Source organism: Homo sapiens, chromosome 17 (genome assembly GCF_000001405.40).
Source record: "Homo sapiens chromosome 17, GRCh38.p14 Primary Assembly".
Taxonomy (NCBI): Eukaryota; Metazoa; Chordata; class Mammalia; order Primates; family Hominidae; genus Homo; species Homo sapiens.
In genome coordinates this window covers 19,403,543-19,428,930 of record NC_000017.11, presented here as the reverse complement: position 1 = coordinate 19,428,930, position 25,388 = coordinate 19,403,543, and the positions used below count along the sequence as shown (strand labels likewise).

The window sequence follows — 25,388 nt, the reverse complement described above, 5'->3', positions numbered from 1 at the left end:
CACAAAAAAAAAAAAAGAGATCCTTTATTTTTGGGGATCTAGATGCTCTGCCTTCCAGCTGTGCTTGCTTTTCACATATTTATTTATTCATTTTATTTTATTTTTTAAATTGAGATGGAGTCTTGCTCTGTCGCTCAGGCTGGAGTGCAATGGTGCAATCTCAGCTCATTGCAACCTCTGCCACCCGGGTTCAAGCGATTCTCGTGCCTTAGCCTCCTGAGTAGCTAGGACTACAGGTGTGCATCACCACGCCTGGCTAATTTTTTGTACTGTTTTGTATTTTACAAATAAAATGGTCCTACTATGATTTGTCTTTGGTAGAAAAGGGGGACTAGAGACAGAAAAATTATGTTTCAGAAGAAAACCACAGTACACCTGCTATTATTATTATTGGGCTGAATCCTGAAATCTTTCCAGCTACAAGTCTCCAGATTAGTGTTTTTCCATTTTTCTCCCATTTTTCTGACTTGGACTCACTGGAAATTAAAACTGTTTTTCTTGAAGCCCTGCATACTGAAGCTAGACAACTTGATATAAACTTTGGGATAAATCACCAGAGCAACTTAATGTAAATAGCCTTCATGCCTGCTGGTGTATGGGCTACTCAGAAAGGTTACTTGAACACCTGATTTGAACTACAGTCCACAAAAAATCTGTCAGCATGCCACCACAGGCCGGGCGCAGTGGCTCAAGCCTGTAACCCCTGCACTTTAGGAGGCTGAGGCAGGTGGATCACCTGAGGTCAGGAGTTTGACACCAGCCCTGACAACATGGTGAAAACCTGGTCTCTACTAAAAATACCAAAATTAGCCAGGCATGGTGGTGCACACTTATAATCCCAGCTACTCAGGAGGCTGAGGCCGAAGAATTGCTTGAACTCGGGAGGTGGAGGTTGCAGTGAGCCAAGATTGTGCCACTGCACTCCAGACCTATCCCATCTGCAATGTCACCTCCTAAAACTAGACAAAGCTGTTTAACCAAACTGACTTATTCTCGGTATGAAGAGTGATTTAAAAGAATATGGGAAAATGTATATAATTTGCTCTTTTCTGCTTATCTCAATTTGTTTTTCCCCTCCTTTGCCTATTTCTTATCTAACAACCTCTAACTCAAATCTTTTCAAAGCTATCAACTTGCCTTTTTTTTTTCTTTGAGACACTGTCTTGCTCTGTCACCCAGGTTGGAGTGCAGAGACACGATCTTGGCTCACTGAAACCTCCACTTCCTGGGCTCAAGCAATCCTCCCACCTCAGCCTCCCAAGTAGCTGGACTACAGGCGCATGCACCACCACGCTTGGCTAATTTTTGTATTTTTTGTAGAGACAGGGTTTCGCCATATTGGCCAGGCTGGTCTCAAACTCCTGAGCTCAGGAAATCCGCCTGCCTCAGCCTCCCAAAGTGTGTGATTACAGGCGTAAGCCATTGTACCTGGCTTCAACTTGCCTTTCCATATGTGAAATTTTCTGAAGGTAAAAGTCTCAAACTGGGGACTGAAGAAAATAAAAATATTTCACCCCAAAATATACTTCGTTTTTTTTTTTTTTTGAGATGGAGTCTCGCTCTGTTGCCCAGGCTGGAGTGCTGTGGTGCAATCTTGGCCCACTGCAAACTCCGCCTCCCGGGTTCACGCCATTCTCCTGCCTCAGCCTCCCAAGTAGCTGGGACTACAAGCACCCACCACCACGCCCGGCTTATTTATTTATTTATTTATTTATTTATTTGTTTGTTTATTTATTTAGTATTTTTAGTGGAGGCAGGGTTTCACTGTGTTACCCAGGATGGTCTCGATCTCCTGACCTCGTGATCCACTCGCCTCAGCCTCCCAAAGTGCTGGGATTACAGGCGTGAGCCACCGCGCCCAGCCTATACTTCCTTGATATAGTTTAAGATGGCTATTCAGAAGGGCTGGAAATACAAAAATAACTAAAAAGCTGCCTTTTGTGGGGGAGATTTGCATCTGTAGAGAAATCTGCACTGACGAAGCCGGGCCGTCTCTGAGGCCTTCCCTCATCCAGACCTGGGAAAGATTAACTGAGAGTCTGACACCTTTAAAGTCTAAAAGAAACATTCACCACCTATTCTCTCTCAAGGGCCGCTACCTGTGAGGCTTCATCTACATAACAAGACCCCCTTTGCTAGCCAGGCCTCCTCTTCTTCCCCTCCATAACTGCCATAATCTGATCTACCACTGTAATCTGGTTTGGGTCATGCTCTGAGCCCTGATTCTTTCTGTAACCTCAAGAGGGTAAGTAAGCTTCTGAATCCCATTGAGGGGTTGGGATAATCACTGCGATTTTCCTTTGGTGCACATTAGTAAATTTCTATGTTATTCCTCATATTAATCTGCCTTTTGTGAGTTGGTTTTTCAGCAAACATTCAGAGGGTGAAGGAGAAGTTTTCCCTTGGCCCCTAGAGTCATTTGACTTATTTTTATGTCCCCCATACTGTGATAGCTATCTTACCAGTGCATAAGACCCGACACTTGTAGGTGTGCCATGGGACCAGCTGTGAACAAGCATTATTATCCGATGCCTATATTGTGCTTGGGAGATGCAATCTCCTAAACTCTGCTATCTCAACAGACTTTGATCAAATAGATGATCATGGTTGTACAATGTTGATTTAGTCTGGATATTTGTCCTTGCCCAAATCTCAGATTGAATTGTAATCCCCGATGCTGGAGGTGGGGCCTGGTGGAAGGTGTTTGGATCTTGGGGCTGGATCCCTCATGGCATGGTGCTGTCTTCCTGATAGTGAGTTCTTGCGAGATCTGGTCACTTAAAAGTGTGTGGTACCTCCCCCAACCCCCCTCCACTGCTCACCCGCGCCACCACCTGCCTCACTTGCTCCTGCTTATGCCATGTGATGTGCCTGTTTCCCCTTCGCCTTCTACCATGATTGAAAGCTTCCCGAGGCTTCACCAGAAACCAGGCAGATGCCAGTACCATGCTTCCTGTAAAGCCTGCAGAACCATGAGCCAATTAAACCTCTTTTCTTTATAAATTACCCATTCTCCAGTATTTCTTTATAGCAGAGTAAGAACAGCCTAACACAAATGGTAATAAAAGAAGACACTGGGCTCCAATGTGATTTATCTGACTTTTCTGTTAAAAATTCAGCTTTGACCTGTTAAATAAAATTTATAGGATGCAATTAGTCTGGAGTGAGCTTCTGCACTAGGCCGAACAGACCAAACCAAAATAGGGTTCTTCATGCTGAAGTTCCACACCAACAAGCCAAAACTAAATTGTTTATCTGACCTTCCAGGGAATCAGGACACACAGGGATAATAGCCAAATCCCCAAACAGGCCAGTTTTAGCCAGCATGATAGGACATCCCCTCTGCTTTAAACTTTGCAGATGCTCCCAATAAACCCATCCTAAATTAAAAATATTACAAATTAAGTCATTTTAAGTTGGGGACCATCATACAAGGAAAGTCACTTTGAAACCACTCATCTGCTTTTTGTTCTCTGTTTCTGCTTTCCACAGCCCTTTTCTGCCTATCAAGCCAAACCTCCTCGTTCAGCTCATCGGAACACTCATTCTGTTTTACAAGAATGAGTTATTGCCCAATTCTTGAGTCACAAATAAAAGCCGATTAAGATTTTTAAACTTGTGCTTTTTGTCTTTTGACAGATCACATTTGCCGATGGGTCACATACAGGATGCAAATAGCCAACTTAGGCTTCCTATGCTGTGGTAGCTGCTCATGAAATTGTGGGAGCTTATTTTGCCTGGAATCAATTCAGCACAATTCAAGTTAATGAATAGCTTACATTTACTAGGGCTTGGCTCAGGACTTCAAACGAATGGACGTACTGATAGTAAATGTCTGTTTAGTGTCAGTCATGCAACAGGGAAGATTCTGAAAAATAGGAGATTCTTGACTTTGACAGGAAGTAAACTATCTCAGAAAATTAAGAGCTGAGGCCAGGCATGCTGGCTCACACCTGTAACCCTAGCACTTTGGAGACCAAGGTAGGAGGATCGCTTGAGCCCATTTCAAGTCTACAGTGAGTCGTGTTCATGCCAATGCACTCCTGCCTGTGCAACAGAGCAAAGAGACCCTGTCTTAAAGAAAAAAAAAAAAAAGAAAGAAAAGCAAAAGAAAAGAAAATTAAGACCTGAGTGTTTAGAGGCATTACACTGTAGCATTCACATGGGCAAAACAATGCCATTTCTAAAGGAAATAATTTTACTGAAGAGCTGCAAAGGCCACTCTTCAAATATGGCAGACCCAAACTTAGAAGTCCCACTTTTTTTTTCTTTCTTTTTTTCAGACAGGGTCTTGCTGTGTCACCCAGGCTGAAGTGCAGTGGTGTGATCTCGGCTCACTGCAACCTCCGCCTCCCGGGTCCAAGAGATTCTCCTGCCTCAGCCTCCCAAGTAGCTGGGACCACAGGCATGCGCCACCAAGCCCGGCTAATTTTTGTAGTTTTGGTAGAGATGGGGTTTAGCCATGTTGCTCAGGCTGGTCTCGAACTCCTGGACTCAAGTGATCTGCCTGCCCCCACCTCCCAAAGTGCTGGAATTACAGGTGTGGCCCTCCACGCCCGGCCAGAAGTCCCACTTTTAACATAAGTAATTTTTATTTACTTTCAAAACTATGCATCACAAAAGGAAATTGACAAATGGAATAAGAAAGGGGCTAAAAAAATCTGACTGGACTATGGGAATTAGCTAACAAAATAATATTGTACCTTGGTTCCCATTTGCTTGATTAGTAATGTTGTGTCATCAACAAAACCATCCCCCAGTGAAAAGTGATCTTAAAGGCACTCCACTTCACTATGCCTGCTGAGCAGGTAGCATCATCCAAAACATGTTGATGTGCGGGTTGTTGACAGGATTCTTTTAAGCCCACTCCCCAGGTACATACAGAAGGTTCTCTTCCACCAGCTTCACCAGGGACCTCACAGCAGCTGGATTCTGTAGAACTAAGGCCTGTGGAAGGCAAAAGATTTTTGTCACGTTATGTTTTCTAGGATGTCCACATAGCCCATAGTCTATTGTGGTTCAGGAATGATGCAAATCATGCTGTCATACTCCCTGTTACCCTCAGTCCTCTGGACAAATAGAGCAGATGAATTCGACTCTAAAACCTCATTTAGAAATCTGCTGGCCTAAAATGGCCTCATGCTTTAGTGCTAGCCTTGTTAAAAATGAGAGCAACCCTGCAAGCAAGCACATATTGCTCCCTTTGAAATTATGTTTGGCAGTCCTAGGAATTGGGTCTGAGACCATGTCCTGGGCCCAATTTAACTGAATCCTCTCATAATTGTGTTCTGTACTTAAAAGGGCTTCTCTCTTCCCTGGAGACGTAAAACCAGAAGGATTCAGAAGGATCTGCCAAAGGAAATCTGGACCCCATAAACGATCAGGTAATTTCATGTACATAAGGGTGTTCTAGAGGAAAGATGGCTGTCACCACCCTGCGAGGGACCCTTTCACATGTTCTGATATGATTATCAAAGTGAAATAAAAATCCAGCTGGATTCATGCTTTCAACTGGACTTGGATTCCCACAAGGACTTGAAACTTAAATCTTCTAGAATAAATGATATTGGTACTGAATTCAACTGAAAAGAACTATTTTTGTGAACTTATTATTACTATTATCATAAACAGCCCTGCTGGCCTATTCACAGCAGTGATGATTTCAATTACTTTAAGACTCATAATTTACTAGAAACAAACATGTTATTTGTAACACTACTTTTCTTTCTGTACTCCCAGTAATGGTCCCCACAATTATTTACTTCCCATCTGCTCTATATTGTGTTTTCAGGATAGATATGGCCCAAATTTATAAGACTAACAATCTGATTGTCGTCAGAGTGAAGGTGGGACCATTTTTTTTTTTTTTTTTTTTGAGACGGGGTTTTGCTCTTGTCACCCAGGCTGCAGTGCAATGGCACGATCTCGGCTCACTGCAACCTCCACCTTGCGGGTTCAAGCGATTCTTCTGCCTCAGCCTCCCAAGTAACTGGGATTTCAGGCACCCTCCACCATGCCTGGCTAATTTTTTTTTTTTTTTTGAGATGGAGTCTTGCTCTGTCACCCAGGCTAGAGTGCAGTGGCCTGATCTCGGCTCACTGCAACCCACACCTCCCAGGTTCAAGCAATTCTCCTGCTTCAGCCTCCCGAGTAGCTGGGATTACAGGTGCCTGCCATTGCACCTGGCTAATTTTTGTATTTTTAGTAGAGACAGGGTTTGACCATGTTGGCCAGGATGGTCTCGATCTCTTGACCTCATGATCCACCCGCCTCTGTCTCCCAAAGTGCTGGGATTACAGGAGTGAACGCCTGGCTAATTTATGTATTTTTAGTAGAGACAGGGTTTCACCACGTTGGCCAGGCTGGTCTCGAACTCCTGACCTCAGGTGATCCACCTGCCTAGGCCTCCCAAAGTGCATTTTTGGGAACACTAACATAACTAATATGCATCAAAATACTCAAGCCCTAAGTTTGACACAAAGTGTCTGAGGCTAAGTAGTTTGCATAACCAGAATTGCATCCCCTAGGCGCTCGCATTATGAAATCTGATTATTAAGGGGCTTATCTGAGGCCATACAAGGACAAAAGGAAACATTAAATACAGTCCTTGGAGGAATAGAAATAGACAAGCGTAGCTAATGCTTGTTGATACTGATACTTTCAATAATAAACTTAATGCTTTGAGACAATTACAAAAACACATAATACAATTGCAATGGAAACGGCCAAAAATTCAGAATTGGACTGTTGAGAAGTAATGTAATGCCCAAACAAAAATTCACCACAAGGATCTCAGAGGGACTTGGCAATAAAGCAGCTTAGCAATTAGCTAGAAAAAAGCTCTGAGATTTCATCACTCGTTCAGCATGACATACTGCTATCATAATAAAACTATTGATTGGACTGATGTGGAAAATGGCCGATGGGTGGGTTTGTCCTCAAGACTTAACATAATAAGAGCCACGGACATGGCCGGGCATGGTGGCTCACACCTGTAATCCCAGCACTTCGGGAGGCCGAGGCGGGCAGATCACCTGAGGTCGGGAGATTGAGACCAGCCTGACCAACATGGCGAAACCCCGTCTCTACTAAAAGTACAAAATTAGCCGGGCGTGGTGGTGCATGCCTCTAGTTCCAGCTACTCAGGAGGCTGAGGCAGGAGAATTGCTTGAACCCAGGAGGCAAAGGTTGTGGTGAGCCGAGATTATGCCATTGTACTCCAGCCTAGGCAACAAGAGCAAAATTCCATCTCAAAGAAAAAAAAAAGAAAAAGAAAAGTCTTAAACTTTTAGATAGGTGCTGCAGGTAAGCCACTCCTTAGTCTTAGATTGGGTAAGACTTTGTAAGCAACTACAAAATGATACTCAAATAGTTAACTACATGAAAGGGCAAGTGATAAAGACAGCACGGCAGTTTGTAACATTAATGTGTGCCGAAGGAGAATTTTTGCACATTGCTAATCAAGTTTGCTTTAACCATTCACCATTAGTATGATGTGTTTAGAGGTTTTTCCCCGAGGTACATATTCTACTGACTGTTAAATTCATCCCACTGAGATCCTGATCATTGCTTTTACAACAGGCTGAATGTTTATGTACACCCAAAATTCATATGTTGAAATCCTAACTAACCCCAAGGTGATGGTATCAGGAGGTGGGGTCTTTGGGAGTGATTAGGTCATAAAGACAGAGAACTCGTGAATGGGATTAGTGCCCTTGTAGAAGAGAACCCAGAGACACCCTTCACTCCTTCCAGCATGTGAAGTGAAAGTGAGAAGATGGAAGTCTATGAGGAAACAGGCCCTCACCAGACATCAGATCTGCAGGAGCCTTGTTCTTGGAGTTCCAGCCTCCAGAACTATAATAAATTTTTGTTGTTTATAAGCCAGTCAGTCTATGATGTTTTGTTCTAACAGCCTGATCAGCTTTGCTGTTTTACTGTGGGCTCGCTGAATATTTTAATGGCTGCAAACTGCCCAAAGAAAGGTAAAAAAAAAAAAAGCAATGGAGATCATTAGTAAATTATAGCGTTACTGGCCGGGCGCGGTGGCTCACGCCTGTAATCCCAGCACTTTGGGAGGCCAAGGCGGGTGGATCACGAGGTCAGGAGATCGAGACCATCCTGGCTAACATGGTGAAACCCCGTCTCTACTAAAAGTACAAAAAATTGGCCAGGAGTGCTGGTGGGCACCTGTAGTCCCAGCTACTCAGGAGGCTGAGGCAGGAGAATGGTGTGAACCCAGGAGGCAGAGCTTGCAGTGAGCTGAGATTGTGCCACTGCACTCCAGCCTGGGAGACAGTGAGACTCCATCTCAAAATAAATAAATAAATAAATAAGTAAATAAATAAATTATAGTGTTATAAAATAATAATACCCAGCACTTTGGGAGGCTGAGACGGGATGACCACGAGGTCAGGAGATCGAGACCATCCTGGCTAACACAGTGAAACCCCGTCTCTACTAAAAATACAGAAAAAGTAGCCCGGCATGGTCGTGGGCGCCTGTAGTCCCAGCTACTCGGGAGGCTGAGGCAGGAGAATGGTGTGAACCCGGGAGGCGGAGCTTGCAGTGAACTGAGATCGAGCCACTGCACTCCAGCCTGGGCGACAGAGTGAGATTCCTTCTCAAAAATATAATAATAACAATAATGATAACAAAGGGCGGGAAACTGTAAAGGTAAATAAAAATAAGATGGCATTCGTTTTGTTTCCAAAAGGAAAAGAGACCCCTTCTCCCCCTCCCCTTTCTATTTCCTTGAGAAAGCCTGTATTTGTAAATCCTTCCTCTGTTCCTTCAGATACTTATGCAAGTCTTTTTAAAGTTTAAATAAATCTTTTACCAGAATTAAAACCCAAAACTGTTTTTCTGAAAAGGCTGGGAGCCCCCTCTCGTAAGTGTAACATCAAGGACGACATGTTGCTGTCACCAACGGTGTGTCAAGGCGTGCCTAGGTGCCTTGCACAACCTGCTTTTTTTGTTGAGACGGAGTCTCACACTGTCGCCTGTGCTGGAGCACAGTGGTGTGATCTCGGCTCACTGCAACCTCCGCCTCCCGGGTTCAAGTGATTCTCCTGCCTCAGCTTCCCAAGTAGCTGGGATTACAGGTGCCCACCACCACACCTGGCTAATTTTTTGTATTTTTAGTAGGGACAGGGTTTCACTATGTTGGCCAGGCTGGTCTTGAACTCCTGACCTCGTGATCTGCCCACCTCGGCCTCCCAAAGTGCTGGGATTACAGATGTGAGCCACTGCGCCCGGCCAACAACTGCATTTCCTAGAGATTCAAGTTGCTTTATTTTCCCTACAGAAAAAGGCACTAATTAGCACAGATGACCACCCCAATCACCAGGTGAATTAGGTACGCTGTAAGTGCATGTATAGCAAACGACGCTGTGGAGCTCTCTCTCACCTGAGTTCAAGTCCTCACACATGACAGCATGTGTGTAACGGGTTGTAGCTGCTTGACTACATAAATAGGGGGATTTCTGACTGTCTTTATGATTGCGTTAGCTGATAATGCATCCATGTGTTTAATGCTTATTCAATCACAGAACTAGTATTTTCTTTATTTTCTACATTTGTGGAGAGAATATTCTGGGTTGGCAGGAGATTTTATTTAAAATAGTTTTTTTTCCTCGATAGCACAAGGTCTGTCTTCCAAGTTGCCGTAGGCAACAATTTTAGCAAACGTTCTGCTGTGACATAAAATGCTTTTCCTTACTGCCCAGCCCCCAACTGGTGATACTTTACCTGTCTGATACAGCATCACTCCATTTCAAAGAACCCATTTCTGTGTGTGTTAGAGTAGGGTGGGTGATGGTGTACTAAGTCGACCTAGATGTCGCATCCCCTTCATGCAGTAAAAGTTTATTCCTTGCTCGCGGCGTGGTTTGATGAGAGCCAGTGGAGTTGAGGGCTTATTCCTGATCCAAGCAGTCAAGGGCCTTCAGGTCGCAGGTTCCTCTTGTCTTGCAGTACTGCCATCTGCAACATGAGGGAGGCCTCAGAAACAGGAACCACACGGCAAGTCACCAAACCTCTAACCCAATCTTGGAACCTACCAATCTTGGAACCTGCAGTGGGTCACAGAAGGGAAACCAGCCAGACGTCAGCATGCTGCTGAGACCTCGGTCAATGAGTCACACCTGGGCTCTTGTGAATTACAGAATCAATGTTGGAAGCCCAGGAAGCCAACTAATCAGGTTTGGAACCCAGAAGCCTGGTCGTCTTGGAGTCTGGAGAGGCTTGAAGGCTCCACTGAGCCAGGGATTTGGCACCAGAACTCTTGGGGTCAAGTCCTGGCCTACCTCTGACTAGTTGTTTCCACTGAGACACATTATTTCTCTCAGCTTCAGCGTCCTCCTCTGTGAAAATGTGTGTTCTACATACTGCTTGAGATGATTTCAAGGCTTAAGGGAGATAATGTTTGAGGAAATGTTTTGAAAGCTACAAGGCACAAGACAAACACCACTTAATATTACTCATCTTGTCTCTGCAGAGACATCCCTCACTGGGCCAACTTCTTCCCATCTGTGCAAAGAGTGGGGAGAGGTAGACACTGAACTGTTGTTCCTTCCAGTGCTGCCGGGTGGGATTCTAGCCATGTAACACCCTCCCTCTCTGAGTCTCTGGGCCCCCTCATCCTGAGCCTCCAAAGTCTGGAAGGTTTCATAGCTCATGTGTCCACCAGATGACAGTGGAAGGGCTCAGAAAGATGCTTCCAGAAAGTCCTTCTCCACAAACACTACACAAAGTTAAGACCCTGTTCCCACCCTTGGCTCAGACCCTAAAAGAGAGAGTCACTCTCATTTGTCTTTACCCCACTCAACCCCACCCTGGCTTTGGGATTTCTCTACATTCTGTATTTTGTCCCCAGCCTGTTAACTATAGCTTCACTGCTGAGCCATCTGTTCTAGACCACGTTGCTGCCTCTGCCCACCACACACTTCCCTGGAGCTGGACCTGATCAGCCAGAAGAAGCATCTGAAAAGGAGCATCTCAATTTCAGCACAGTCGACCTTAACAAAATAACTTCAGGAAGTGCACCAGCTTGGGAACCAGGACTTCGGGGTTCCCCTGCTTCTGTCATCAGCAGCTGCACAGGCTTATCTGAGACTTTCTCTCTCTGGGTGTGCACCTATAAAATGCCAGGATTGGATGCAGTGACTACTGCTGTGGTTCTGAGATGGGGAGCTGGGGAGCTGGGGAGCAGGGCTGGGAGGAGAATCAGTTGGGTGAACTCCTGGCTGGCTGAGCCCTGCAGAAGTGGTCCTGGGCTTCTCCTTCCTTCAAGGCTTGACCAAGTTCTCTCTGCTTATGTATCCATTCTGTCCTCTTGCTGGGACAGGTGCTTGTTGACTGCCTGTTGACAGGATCATGGGAAGCAGTTTCTCAGAGAGGAGACAAGAGGAGCGGAACCCCAAGTCCTAGTGGAAGAGCCTGCAAAGGTGCCCATATCCACTTGGCCTTGGCCTGAGGCCTCTTGCAGCCACTGAATGGGGACCTCTGACGTTCACTTCCTTGGATCTCTTGAATTCCAATCTCCCTCTTCCCATCTGTGCATTCCAGCAATGGATCTCATTGGTTCACCTGCTCCCACCATGAAGTCATCTGAGGGTTAAATTCTGTTTCAATAATATACTGGGAAGCTGACATTCACATACACACATTTTATTTTTCATAAAATAAAGGATAATGTGCCCACCCATACCCTGTAAGTTTCATAGCCTAGAAGTCAGTTTCATAGCCTAGAAGTCTTCCTAGTAGTCAGATTTTCTGTCCCCCAGAGGGAGAACTCCCGCACCCCCAGTTCCCAGGGGGCCTGGTGTTTGAGGAGCTGCATCAAGCTGCATCTTCTTACAAGCCCAGGGGAGAAAGGATGTGTTTAAGGGTAGAAGTTGTTCATTTTGTTTTCCTTTGCAAGATTTTGATAGAATCTAGTATAAAGGCTGTCTGGCTTAGCTCAGAATGCAAGAAAAGGTGTTATTCTTTCGCATTTGGGCACTTCACAGAGGGCATGGGCACTCCCCCATCTAAACAGGCTTGAAAAAGGACACAGACCCAAGAGAGGCCCTTGCGGAGGCCCAGCAAAGAGTGGTTCAGGATGCACAGACAGGCTCTCTGGGGCTGTGGGCCAGGAGTGGGAAAGCCACCTTAGTCCTGCTGGAGCAGATTTGGGAAGGGTCATGGGAACAAGTTTCTCTGCTCTGGGGTCTGGGCCACAGTCTACCATGTCCCATCTCTCTGGTTCTGCCCAGTGTTCCTTCCTTCCTGTCATCCCCAGCACCTCATCAGTGCTCCCCGCTCCTGAACACCATGGTCAATCATCCTGGGGCTTCTCACATCTGTGAAAGAACAGGTCTCTCGACCACCTAGGGGTAGACTTCCAGGATGGTGCCTGCTTAACTTTCCTACAATCCAGGGTCATCGGGGAAATGAGCCAGGTGGGGAGGGTGGAGTCTCACTTGCAGCCAGAAACCCTGGGATGTAGCCTATCTGTGACAAGGGCAGATCGGCAACCATCTGCAACCAGAAACAGGCCGGGTGTTCTATCCACTGCCCCCAGATGCTGCCTCCCAGGTTCCAAGAGCCACCTTGAGTCCCAGCTCAGCTGCCACCCAGACACCGAGCATTCGACCAGGGCAGTGCAGTACATGGCGGTGCCTTGGAATCCCTGGCATCACCCTCCCCCGACCTGCCCCTCTTCTTCATCCCCACCTGACATCTCTCCTGTCCTTCAATACCTCCTGGGGCTGTTACTCTTCCTGGAGAAGGGGCTCTCGGTCCCCTTCCAGAAGCCTCTCATCCTCCTCCTTCTCCATGCAGCCCACTGTGGCAGCCAACCCAGCACCCACGCCACCCCCAACCACAGCGGCCCCTGTGGCCCCCACGGCAGCTCCAGCAGCCACCATCCCAGCCTCTGCAGCCAGTGCAGCTGCTGCCATGCCAGCACCCACCACGCCCCCTGCCAGGCCCATGAGCCCGGCCCCCACAGCACCCCCCACAGCAGCTAGGTGGCCACAGAAGCGCATCGTGTAGGAGTCCATGAAGGCCTTGGCCGTGGCCTGCAGCTCAGCTTCCAGTGCCTCCAAGGTCTGATCTCTCCCCTTGCAGAGTAAGGCCACACCATGGCGGGCCAGAATGGCATCTTTCTGGGTGGAGAGGAGGTTCCGCATGGTGTCTGGCAGGACCCGCAGCGCAGAGAATATGCGCTTGGTGGCTACGTCCTGTGACAGGGAGGGGAAAAGAAGGTGCCCTGACCAGGAGTCCCAGGTATCCTCTCCCTGATCTGGACCCTGCCCGGCCCACACCTGCCTCCCGTGCAGCCCCGGGGCTCACCTGCTGCCTCACATACTCCTCGAACTCCCTCTTGGCAGCTTCCACCTTCCTCAGGTCGTGCAGCTGAGCAGCCATCTGTCCACGGGAAAACCCAGGCTGCCTCCTTCCTTCCTTCTCAGCCAGGGGCGCTGCTTGTTTCCTCATCTCCACTCCCAGGGCACACAGACCCCCACCCCGGAGGCCTCGGCACAGCCCCCACCTCCCTGCCTCCCCTGTCTCCCTGCCAGAATGCTGGATCCCCCAGCGCTCATACCTCATCCGGAGAGGTGAAACCGGGCCCTGTCCTCCCCATCCATCCTGAGAGGTTCTGCGGAGATACCATCGCTGGGGTCAGGGAGAGCAGGGGCCCAGCCGAGTCGCCTGGGTCTCCAGGGAGTTTTCACACCTTGATTTCCTGAGCTAGCTGCTGCCCCGTGAGTAGGCGTCTGTCCCCCCTGGCCACGGCGCGCCCCTCGTTCCAGTACCCCTGGCAGCGGCTCTTAGCGTGCTGGGGGGCCGCACTCAGCACATCTGAGACGTAGGCCCCCAGAAGGTGGCGGAAGTCATCATCTGTGTCTGAGGGAGAGATGTGCATGCTGAGAGACTGCGGGCTTTGGGAGGAGAAGGGGTGTCAGAGGCCAGGAGAGGTGGGTGCTTCAAGGGGCTCGGTTGCCGGAGGGGAGCTGGGAGCAGCGCAAGAGAGGTTCAGCTCTCAGAGACACTCACCACCAGGGCTTGCATGGCCTTGGTTCATCCGCCGCCTCCCTGGGGCAGGCAAGAGGCAGCAACGGGCTCGCTTCCCTTGCAGCAGCTCCTGCACCTTGGGGTATCTGCCAGACAATCTCTGTGAGGCAGCGAGAGGAGTGCTCTGAGCTAGGAGGTCCAGCCTCCCATGTCTTCCCCACCTCTGCCCTGTCCATGGCCCCTCCACCCCATCCCCTTGCACCACTCACCTGGAAGATGTTGCCTACATGCCCCTGCCCTGCCTTGTTGGGGTGGGATGAGTCACGAACTAAGAGGTCCAGATGCTGAAAGAGAAGGGGTCCTGACACCAGCAAATGGGGGTGGCGGGGCCTGGGGCCAATGAATCCAGAGATAGGTGTCTCACCTGGATTGGCACCATCCCATAATGCTTGCCCATCACCTCGGCCACGTGGACAAACATCTGGGGGTGGGACACAGAAAGCGTCAGGGCTGGGCCACTTTGAGGACTATGGTGCACCCCAAGCCTGTCTCCCCACCTCCCTACGCCTGCTGTAGGAGCTAGGCTCCCCCTTTTGCAGCCTGGGGTTCTCCTGCCTCTCCCCAGACCACACATCTCTTGCTTTACTCTCCACCCTCCCCCTTCAACCCTGTTCAAGTGTCATAAAACCCTAGGCCAGACCAGGAGGGCACCTAGTTCCTTTGGGTCCAGCCCTAGTGGGGAGGGTGGGGGTGGGGGATGCCCCAACATCAGAGGTCTCTTTACCTCCAGATAGTCCAGGTCTGTATCCTTCAGCTCCTGGGAGGTGCTGAGGATCTGGAATCAGAGAGAACAACATGTATGAGAGATTACAGAGGCCGGGTGACTTCACTGGGGAAGGCCCTGGTGAGTAGGGAGCTCGCAGGCAGCCTGTGGGCCTCAGAGTATGGGAGAGGCCAGTATGGGGGCCTCGAAGGCTGCAGGGCTGGGCTGGCCTCAAGGCCGGAGACAAGCCTGGAGGGTAATGTGATCCATCAGGTCTTCAGCTGCCCCTGGGACCATCAGCCCACTTTTAGGAATAACCCACGTTCCCACCTTCACCAACTAGGAGCACCTTCCCCCTTCTAAGGCAGCCCCAGAACCTATCAGGACCCCAGACACCAAAGCCTGTGAGATGCTCTGGCCTTGAGGAAGCTGAGCTGGAGAAGGGTGTGTGGGGTGGGGATGCCAACATCAGCGCCCCCCATCACCTGGTAGGAGCTCAGCATCGTGGTGAGAGCACAGAGCTTGATCCTTGTTTCCCTGCTCAGCTCAGGGCTCATGGCATCCCCTGTGTCCACCAGGAACACCGCCACCTATGCAGGGGGTAGGGAAAGACCCAAGGGGCCAGGCCTGCCTTGTTCTCCCACATTCTTCCCAACCCTGCCCCGTCCCATCCCCATCTTCTATCCTCACCCCAGAGACGCCCTTCTTGATTCCCCTTCCCATCCCTGACCTCCTTCTGCCACTTCCCCCCTCACCTTCTTCCCTTCTTTCCCCAGCAAGAAGGGGTGGCTCCACATCCATATGCCCCTGGCGAGGCCATTGGCGCCCCACCTGCAGCCCTGCAGGGATGCCTCTCCTCCTCTTGGCCGGCCGCCCTCACCAGACTCCTGCAGGGGAGAGAAGGGAGAGCATCAGTTGGTCGGTTCCTTGTCCCCACAGACCGGAATACCAGACCCAGCTTCCCCCAGGCAGGAACCCCCATCCTTGCTCCCCGCCTCCCTCCTGCCCCGCCCCGCCCTCACCAGGCCCGGCAAGCCCTGAAGCAAATGGTTGAGGAGGAAGGACTTCCCTGAGTGCTGCTCCCCCAGGACAGCGAGGAGGCAGACTGGGGTGTCCCTGGCCAGAGGGTGCTTCAGGCAGCGGTTGATGGCCCCCATCCTAAGGATGAGGCCCCCAGAGGCATTGATGCGAACCAGCAGCAGCGGCTCCGCCCTCACAGGACACGTCTCCTGGGCCAGGAGAAGAGAGGGGCCCCTGAGCATCCAGGACCAGCTCCTGACCCTGGAATGTGTTCAGCCTGGAGCTCTGTGTCCTGATGTTCTAGAATAGGGCCAAAGCCACCCCCTCCTCTTGGGTCTGACTGATTAGGCCCAGTCCCCAGACCTGCAGTGCAGGGGGCAGCGGCCGCTGCGGCAGGAGCTTCATCTTCTCGCCCAGGCTCCGGAGGCCCCTCTTCTGCTTGCATATCTTCCGGCACTCAGGACAGCAGGGCGGCTCACAGCCCGGGAGACGGTGTGTGCTGAAGCACCGTATGCAGAAGTCGTGGCCACAGTCCAGCGAGATGGGGTCGCGCAACCTCTCCAGGCAGATGGAGCAGGTAGGGAGCTCCCGGGGCGCCATGGGCTGGGGCCCCAGGCCTAGCTCCAACTTGGGGAAAGGTGTATGGGACCTGTGGGGCAAAACAGGCCATTGAAAAGCAGGATGTCTATTGGGGGCAGGGGGTACCGGCCAGGGTTGTGGTGGAAGACTGATGGCTTGGGAGTGGAGGTCCCTTTGTGCCAACCCAATTTCCATCAGTGCCTCCATGGACAGGCGGAGCTGCTCCCAGAGAGGCCAAGCTCTGCCCGTTCCTCACTGACATGTGTCCTAGGACCTGGGGGCCTCAGAGTGGGGGCAGCAGAGCAATGGTGAGAGAGTCTGAGAGGGAGAAAATCTGAGTGGAATGGACTCCACCACATCCCAGCCATGCAAATGCAAGCAAGTTCCTTCCCCTCTCTGGGCCTCAATTTCCTAACTGTCCCAATGGAGAGGATAGCAATACCCCTCATGGGGCCGTTGGGGTGGCCATCCGAGAGGAGGCGTGTGCAGCTGTCTGCACAGTGCCTGGTGCAAATGCTTGGGAAGAGCCTCTCCCGGCGTTCTACAGCGGGGCTCCCTCCATGAGGTGCTGACTTCAGCCAGGCCCCCAGGGATGATACCCTCCACAACCCCATGCTACAGGGACAGTGAGGAGAAGCCATCAGCCTGTGCTGCAGTTGGGCAGATGGCTCTGGATCTTAGAAGATTCCTTCCGCTCTCTGCTCTGAGCTGGCATCTGCCTCCCTGCAGCACCCACCTGCTTCTTCCTGTCCCTCCCTCCACAGCCTGGCGGATCCAGCCTCAGGCGGACAGCCCTCCCGGCTGGGCTGCCGGGCTCTGTGTTCCAGGACCGGCCATTTCAACTGACCTGCCTGGCCTCACTGCACCCATCCCAGCCTGGAAGGCCCTGCTACTTACCAACTGTTGCCGCTGTTTCCCATGAAGCTCTGTTTTCTCTCCTTGGAGAAAAAAAAAAAAAAAAAAGATTTAGAACATAATCCAGACTTCTATCTTCACCCTGGATTTCCAGGGACCCCTCATCCTCCCCACCCCCGGCCCATCCCCCAGCCCAAGGAGGGCCCTTCCCACCCCACTCTCCTTCCCGATCTTAGGACTGAAGACTTGCCCGTTTGCCAAGCCGATGACAAAAGGAAGTGACTGACAAGGCGGGCCTTGGCATGGGAGGCTGGGATGGGGAGAGGGTCCGGATGCAGAGGGGGAGGCCCCGAGACCTTCAACCAGAGGTAAGGATGCCTTTTCTCCCGGAAAGGCTAGCAGGCTGCGGTAGGTAGAAGGTGAGGTCGGGGGATGGTATCCCCGAGGAGCTGACTCCCGGTCAGAGCTGGAAAAGAAATGTGACAGTCAGGAAAGAGGAGGCTGCTGCTGGACTCACCCCAGGGGGAGGAGACACGGCTGCGGGTAGCAGGGCTCCGAGGAGGGAGGGATGGAGCCCGGCTCAGAATCCCTGGCAGAGGCTGGGATGCAGGCAAGCCGAGGTGGTGAGTCGCCATGGAGACAGAAGGGAAAGATAAGGACAGGGAGGGGGAGGGGGACAGAGAGGGAGAAGGCGTGCGGTGCACCCGCAAACATGGAGGCGCCTCCGGCAGAACCATGGGCCAGCACTGCCTCTACTGGGCCAGCTGAGGTCTCCCCAGGGCCACAGGACAGGGTGGGCAAAGAGAAGAGGTGTGAGAAACAGGAGAGGGTAAGACCAGAGCTGACCCAGAGACAAGGAGTTATTCATCCATTCATCCAATGAACAGTTACTGAGTACCTACTATGTACAGAGCCCCCAAATGCAGACCCTACTTCACATGGCCCTGCACATCCTCCTGCTCTCTCTCAGGTTTATGTCATCGACGCCCAACCCAGCTGCAGCCTTCTTCAGCACTCATGGGCCCTCCGTGTCCTCTGGTGTATTTCCCTCCCAATAGCTTTCACTCTGCCTCAAACTTGAGCAGGATGAAATCTATCAAAACTATGAGCCACCTCTGGACCTTCTAATGGCCTCTTGACTGGGCTCCTTGCCTCCCTTCCACTCCCCAGTGCACAGCCAGCATAGGCTCCCCAAGCACAGATGACCTCACACTGCGCAAACACCTTTTGTGTCTCCCTACTACCATCAGATCAAAATCCAAACTCTCCGGCCTGCGGACTGGGCTGAACCTTCCTTCCACCCTTCTCTCGCCCCACTCTTCCCTGCCTCTGCACCCTGGCTTGGCTGCTCTGCTCCTTCTCATCCCTCCTGGGACACCCTCTTAGGCCCAGTGCAGGTGCTGTGGCCTCCCTAGAGCCTCCTTTCCTCACCCCTCCCAACTGGGTGCGGTCTTGTTCTTGGACAGTTGAGGGCTGGGATATGTGATAGGCTTGGCGCAGCCCAGGCTTCAGAGCCAGGCAGATCTGGGCTTGATTCTCGGCTCAGGGGCTCTGGGACTCCACTGCACCTCTCTGTGCTCTGAGGAGCCACCATTACCTATGTAAAGCCACTAGTCCAGGCACGGGAGTCATTCGTACATCCTATGAGCTAGGATGCAGAAGGGTTGGGGTGAGGTGGGATTCAGAACCTAGAAAAGTTCAGCAGAGACCACCTTCAGCAGGTGGAGACACCCCTGAAGCTGGGGCTGGATCTTGTTCATTTTGGTGTCTGGAGGGCCTGAGATTGTGGGGCTGAATCAATCAGATTCAGAGAAGCAGTGCCATAGACTCTGCCTCCTCCTGCCCCAGGTGGGACAAGCCCCTGTGTGTTGGCAGCAAAGCCTCACACTCAGGGGATGAGGAAGCAAGCCTGAGCCGTGCCACAGCTCTGCCTTCAGGGCAGAAGGGAGGGTTTTCTCAACCCCTGTAGCCTTTCATCCTTGCAGGAGAGAAAGCGTGGGCGCTGGACTCAGATTCAAGCTCTAAACCTGCCTCCATCCCAGCATGAAATGCTGGTGAGTCACTGCCCTCTCTGAGCTTCCATTTGCTCATCACCAGGCAAAGATGTGAGGAAGCAGATGGGACAATCAGTCTTCACTTAATGATACTTACTGAGCACCAGGTACTGTGTCTCACACTGCAGTACAGCTGGAAACAAGAGAGACAAAGCTCCATCCTCCCCAAGATCCCAACTGGACAATTAAAAGGCATTGCTATGATCTGGGTGAGAACCTGGATGCGGGGAGGGTGAGGAGGGGTGTCAGGCTGTCCTGATAAGCAAGGAGGTAGAAAAAGGTTGTCAAGGCAGGGCAAACCACAGGTACAGGGCCCAGAGGAGAGGGGACACAGAACCCATTCTGGGGAACAAAGGAGGTCCGGCTGGCCTGGCAGGAATATTTGATGCAAAGATGGGTGCACCAAGGTGAAGGGCAGAGCAGGCCTGGGTCATGCAGGCCCTCAGGGGCCAAAGGAGGGGATAGGGACTTCACCAGTCAGTATCTCAGGAGGGATCCCGCAGGGCAAACATGTATGGTAGAAGCCTCACTCTTAGGGCTGGCTATATAATTTTATTTATTAATTATTGTTATTATTATTATTATTTGAGATGGAGTTTCGCTCTTGCTCAGGCTGGAGTGCAATGGCATGATCTCGGCTCACTGCAACCTCCGCCTCCCAGGTTCACGCGATTCTCCTGCCTCAGCCTCCTGAGTAGCTGGGATTAGAGGCATGTGCCATGACATCTGGCTAATTTTTGAATTTTTAGTAGAGACGGGGTTTCTCCATGTTAGTTAGGCTGGTCTTGAACTCCCGACCTCAGGTGATCTGCCTGCCTTGGCCTCCCAAAGTGCTGGGATTACAGGTGTCAGCCACCACGCCTGGCCAATTTTGTTGTTGTTGTTGTTGTTGTTGAGATAGGGTTTTACTCTGTCACCCAGGCTGGAGTACAGTGGTGTGATCTCAGCTCACTGCAACCTCTGCCTCCTGGGTTCAAGCAATTCTCCAGACTCAGCCTCTCCAGTAGCTGGGACCCCAGGTGCACACCACCATGCCCAGATACTTTTTGTATTTTTTTGTAGAGACGGGGTTTCATCATGTTGCCCAGGCTGTTCTTAAACTCCTGAGCTCAAAGTGATCTGCTTATCTCGGCCTCCCAAAGTCCTAGGATTACAGGCATAAGCCATGGTGCCTGGCCAGGCTAGCTATACAATTTGTGGATTTGGTGAAAAATGTAACTGCAAAGCCCCCACCAGAGGCAAGAAAGTCCATTGCCTCTTCTAATGGCACATTGCCTCCACACATGGCCAACAGGCAGCCCCTCCAGATTGCCACAGTCATTTTAGGACACGCTCAATACCTGGATTGGGGGTCGGGGAGAAGCCTATGCTAAGTTTCAGCCCAGGGAGGGGAGAGCCACCACTCTGTCACACCCTAAGATGCCAGGGGCCAATCCAGCAGTCCCCAGTCCTCCTTGAGCCTGCATTCAGGCCTCCAGATGAAGGGGGGCAGCCATGGTGGGGCAGAGGTGGGGACACTGGGAGCCTGGGAGTGGGCAGCCAAGAGCCTGTGCTGGGGAGGCAGTGGGACATGGGACACACACAAACCAGCTTCCGAATTCCCAGTGAAGGCGCCATTTTCCCATCAGACTTCACTCACAAAGCACAAATTCAATGCTAAAATGATTGTTTCAAGATGGTGACCAGAGCACTGAAGCCCAAGCACACAGCCCTTCTGAGCTCTCGCCTTGAGTGGCTGCACTGGATGCATACCTGGGAAGCTGGCCCCTCCCACTCTGGCTGCTGTATGGACAACAGACTAGAGGGGCAAGCGGGGAGGCTGAGGGTGCTGCTGGGGAAGTCAAGGCCACAAGTGGAAATACAGATCCACTTGGGATCATACCCGGGCACCTAAAAGAGGGCATTCCCCAAGGCACGGTACAGGCCGACCAGGTGGATAGGAGACGGGAGGAACACCAGGCCTGCTCCTGGATAAAGGATGGGATAAAGGATGGGCCCTGCTCCTTTGCAGCCAGAGGCCTCTGATGCTATCTAGGGCCCCAAGGGGAACCCCTGGCCCAGGGAGGCCAGGTGTGGTGGTCCTGGGTCCATGTCTATGGGCAGCCCCGCTTTATCCATTATGCTCCATGAGTCTCTTGAGTCTACGGTCTATGAGAATGTTTGAAACCTAATGGAAAAATGAGACTCTCCAAACCACAAAAAGAAAATTTCAAAATCAAAAGTAACACCCACTTAGTTTAATGTCCCAGTACCCCTTACATGATGTTAGCTGGTAAACCCAGCTCGAGTTATCATCTGTAAAGTCAGATTCAAGTCATGAGTGCACTGATTCAACAAATGTTTACTGAGCACCTACTAAGTGCTGGGCACAGTGCTAGGTTCTGAGGAGTCAGGGTGACCAAAACAGAGAAAGTAATGGCAGTAAAGTGTTGAGACATCGACCGGGCATGGTGGCTCACACCTGTAATCTCAGCACTTTGAGAGGCCGAGGTGGGTGGATTGCTTCAGCTCAGGAGTTCGAGAACAGTCTGGGCAACTTGGTGAAACCCTGTCTGTACATACACACACACACACACACACACACACACACACACACACACACACAATTAGTCAGGCATGGTGGTGCACAGCTGCTCAGGAGGCTGAAATGGGAGGATCACTTGAGCCTAGGAAGTGGAGGTTGCAGTGAGCCGAGATTGCACCACTGTACCCAGTATGGGTGACAGAGTGAGACCCTGTCTCAAAAAAAAAAAAAGTGTTCAGACATCAAAATAAATAATGTGTCTTATCAAAAGATGATCCTATCCTTTGAAAAATATTAATGGCAAAAAATTTCAACTCAACCTGGGCTGTGGATACCACGTGTTTTAATGTGTTTGCTCTGATTAGAGAGAGTCCTCCTGACAGTCAAAGGGCCCAGGGCCTGCAAAGTTCTTGAGCCTGGCAGCTAAGGCCCTCATAGGAGGATGACTACCCCACGTGGACCTCAGCGAATCTGAAAAGGAATGGAAGAAACTCCACTCTGCCTAGTTCCTTGCTTTCTAACCATGGTGAGGCTACCACACAGGTTTCTCATGGTGCCCCTAACTGGCCTCTGACCTTCCCCAGGGACTCAACGGGACAGGAAGAGCCACACTAAGCCAGGCCTGGTCCTGCAAGGTGGACAGGCCCTCAGGGTGCTGCTGGGGGCTGAGCAGTGACTTGAGTGAGAATGGAGTCCACAGAGAGGGTTGGGGTGGGAGGGGAGGTCCTGGGTTTCGGGGGTGGAGCTTGAACTGTGGGAGGGAGCGAATTGCAGGCCCTAGAGACAGACTTATTTCTCATTTCATCCGTTGTCCATTCATTCACCAACAAATATTGGCCAAGTTGGTGTGAGGTGCTTCTACCCAGCAAAGAAATGCCAGGAATATGGCCATCACTCACCCAGACAGGATCACTACCTTCGAGACCTTGCACAGACTCAAGGAGTATGGACCTGGGAGTCCCAGCGCACGCTGGGCTGGCCCTGCACCATCAACTAGCTCCATGCCATCCACCCTGTCAGATCTCTGCCCAAATCCAGCCCTTGGCCTCCAGATCCTGAAGCTGAAAGCTCCCAGCACCTGCTCTCCCTCTGCCTCTTCCATCCTTGTGAACAAGCGGCCCAGCTCAGGCCACTAACCTGACTTCCTGACCTCTGGCTCTAGCTTCCAGGCTGGGAGTTGGAGTGGAGGTGGACTCATTTTTGGAATAACCAGCCTCAGGAGTCAAAAATACAGTTTTACAGACTGGAACCCTGTTTGGGGAGGTTTCTGAGTCCCTTGATGTACGCAAGAGCCAGCTTCACACACAAACGCACACGCACACACACATGCATGCATGCACACACCTGGTCAGCCCTCCCCCAACATACTATTCCATGTAAATCCTCACACATACCATACACATATGGTCAAAATACTCCATGTATCCCACACTCTGTGCTCACACATTGTGCCACATGCACATCCATGACTCCACCTTGCCCGATATAGACCCACAGTGCTCACACACACACACAAACATGCATACACAGTTACACCCTCACAACCGCACTTGCACATCCACATCCATTCACATGCTCACTCCTTCATACTCACACACAAATATGTGTGTACCTTCAGGCCTCATGCTCATGGACATTTACACACGGGCTCACTCTTACTGCCTTACACGCACACGCACACATCATACATCCTTACCCAACAGGCGCTGTTCCAAGCACTTTATGTGATAAGCTCACCCCGAGTAACACAACCTATGAGGGAGGTACTATATCACTTCCATTGTATAGATGAGGGAACTGAAGCACAGAGAGGTTAAGTCACTTGTCTAACACCACACAGCTATTAATGGCAGAGCTGGAATCCAAACCCAAGCCATCAGGCTCCCCAATCCAAGCTCTTAGCCACTACATTCCATGGTCTGTTTGGTGGCAGAAATAAAGTTAGTTATTACAATAAGCCTTGGAAAGAGTTTGTAGTTTTGCTGTGTCTCAGTTTGCCATCACTTTCCTCAGAAGGGGATAAAAATCAGTCCAGCCTCTGTCTATGCAGAATATTGGAAACAGGCAACTGAGTTCTGACTGGTTCTGACCGCAGCTTGCTGTGTGACCTCAGGCAAGTCCTTGATCTTCTCTGGGCCTGTTTCCTGATGTGTGAATGTCGGCGGGGGGCCAATGAGATCAGAGGTCCCTTTGGGTGGAACGCCCCCAGTCCTCTCCCACCTCTTAGCCTGGGAGCTGGCCTTCATGAAGCCTGGCACTGTGGGCATTGCCCTGGTAAGCACTGGGTCTTAGCCTGTTTCTGCTGCAATAACACAATACCACAGACTGGGTAATTTATAATGAGCAGAAATGTATTTGGCTCAAGGTTCTGGAGGCTGGGAAGTCTAAGAACAAAGGACTGCATCTGATGAGGGTCTTACTGCTGTGTCATCACATGGCAGAAGCCATTACAGGGACAAGAGAGAGAGGAAAGGGGACCAAACTCATCCTTTTATAAAAGAACTCATTCCCGAGGTGACAGCATTAATCCATTCCTGAGGTGACCTTTAATCACCTCTTAAAGGTCCCATCTCTCAAACCATTGCATTGAGGATTAAGTTTCCAGCACTTGAACTTTGGAAGACACAGTCACCATCTTGTTTATCTTCTGCCCACTCACCCACCCATGCATTCATTCATTCTCCATTCCTCCAACCATCTATCCATGCATGCACTGATTATCTACCTATTTATCCATCAAGATAAATGCATTATCTACCTATTTATCCATCCACTCACTCAATCACCCATGCACTCATTATCCATCCATTAATTCATCTATGTATCCACCATTCATTTCTTTCTTTTTTTCTTTTTTTTTTTTTTTTTCAGACAGAGTCTTGCTCTATCACCCAGGCGGGAGTGCAGTGGCACAATCTCGGCTCACTGCAACCTCCATCTCCTGGGTTCAGGCAATTCTCCTGCCTCAGCCTCCCGGGTACCTGGGATTACAACTGTGCGCCACCACACCCGGCTAATTTTTTTGTATTTTTAGTAGAAACTTTTGTATTTTTAGTAGAGATGGGTTTTCACCATGTTGGCCAGGCTGGTCTTGAACTTCTGACCTCAAGTCATCTGCCCACCTCCACCTCCCAAAGTGCTGGGATTATAGATATGAGCCACCACACCTGACCTCATTTCTTATATTCTTTCATCCATCCATTCTCCAACTACCAATCCACGCATGCACACATGCATGATTTGCTCCATCCATCCACCCACACATACACACATCTTTTCATCCATCACTCCTCCACTATCTGTGTATCTACTCATCCACCATCTACTCTTACACTTATCCATCCATGCATGGATTCATCCATCTGTCCATGTTACAAACATTTATTGAGCAATACACCAGACATCATACTAGGCTCTGGGAGTAGACTGATGAGCCCTCAGGGTGCTTCCAGTCTACTGGGGAGACAGAAAGGAAAATAAACAAGTACGGGGTGGTAAGTTCTCTGATTAGGTAGAGTGAGGGGAGATGCACGAGGAACAAGCAAAGGCACCTTGCTCAGACCTGGGCACCTAGGAAGGCTTCCCACAAAAG

General features: G+C 50.5%; 1 protein-coding gene and 2 long non-coding RNA genes across 8 annotated transcripts; 1 reads left to right on the top strand and 2 right to left on the bottom strand.

The window, feature by feature from the left end:
* Window positions 1-4,573: 4,573 nt before the first annotated feature.
* LINC02094 (long intergenic non-protein coding RNA 2094) lies at window positions 4,574-10,583 on the bottom strand. Its single transcript, NR_186796.1, has 3 exons — window positions 10,062-10,583; window positions 9,751-9,984; window positions 4,574-4,947 (listed from the first exon to the last, which is right to left on the bottom strand). It is a non-coding gene; the product is annotated as a long intergenic non-protein coding RNA 2094 (long non-coding RNA).
* Window positions 10,584-11,654: 1,071 nt separating this feature from the next.
* RNF112 (ring finger protein 112) lies at window positions 11,655-17,699 on the bottom strand. 6 transcript variants are annotated; one of them, XM_006721571.5, is made up of 14 exons: window positions 17,469-17,699; window positions 17,261-17,301; window positions 16,148-16,433; window positions 15,787-15,993; window positions 15,520-15,651; window positions 15,250-15,354; window positions 14,786-14,836; window positions 14,426-14,482; window positions 14,271-14,345; window positions 14,044-14,185; window positions 13,724-13,893; window positions 13,592-13,645; window positions 13,339-13,413; window positions 11,655-13,226 (listed from the first exon to the last, which is right to left on the bottom strand). In XM_006721571.5, exons 1-14 carry the CDS (start codon window positions 17,520-17,522, stop codon window positions 12,756-12,758), a joined length of 1,920 nt encoding a protein of 639 aa, XP_006721634.1. In that variant the 5' UTR covers window positions 17,523-17,699; the 3' UTR covers window positions 11,655-12,755. The 6 variants fall into 6 exon arrangements, with proteins under 6 accessions (XP_006721634.1, NP_009079.2, XP_006721635.1 ...); NM_007148.5 differs by having other exon boundaries at window positions 14,044-14,161; XM_006721572.5 differs by having other exon boundaries at window positions 15,787-15,990.
* A 4,302-nt stretch (window positions 17,700-22,001) lies between these two features.
* LOC124903947 (uncharacterized) lies at window positions 22,002-23,753 on the top strand. Its single transcript, XR_007065657.1, has 2 exons — window positions 22,002-22,322; window positions 22,639-23,753. It is a non-coding gene; the product is annotated as an uncharacterized LOC124903947 (long non-coding RNA).
* Window positions 23,754-25,388: the final 1,635 nt, after the last annotated feature.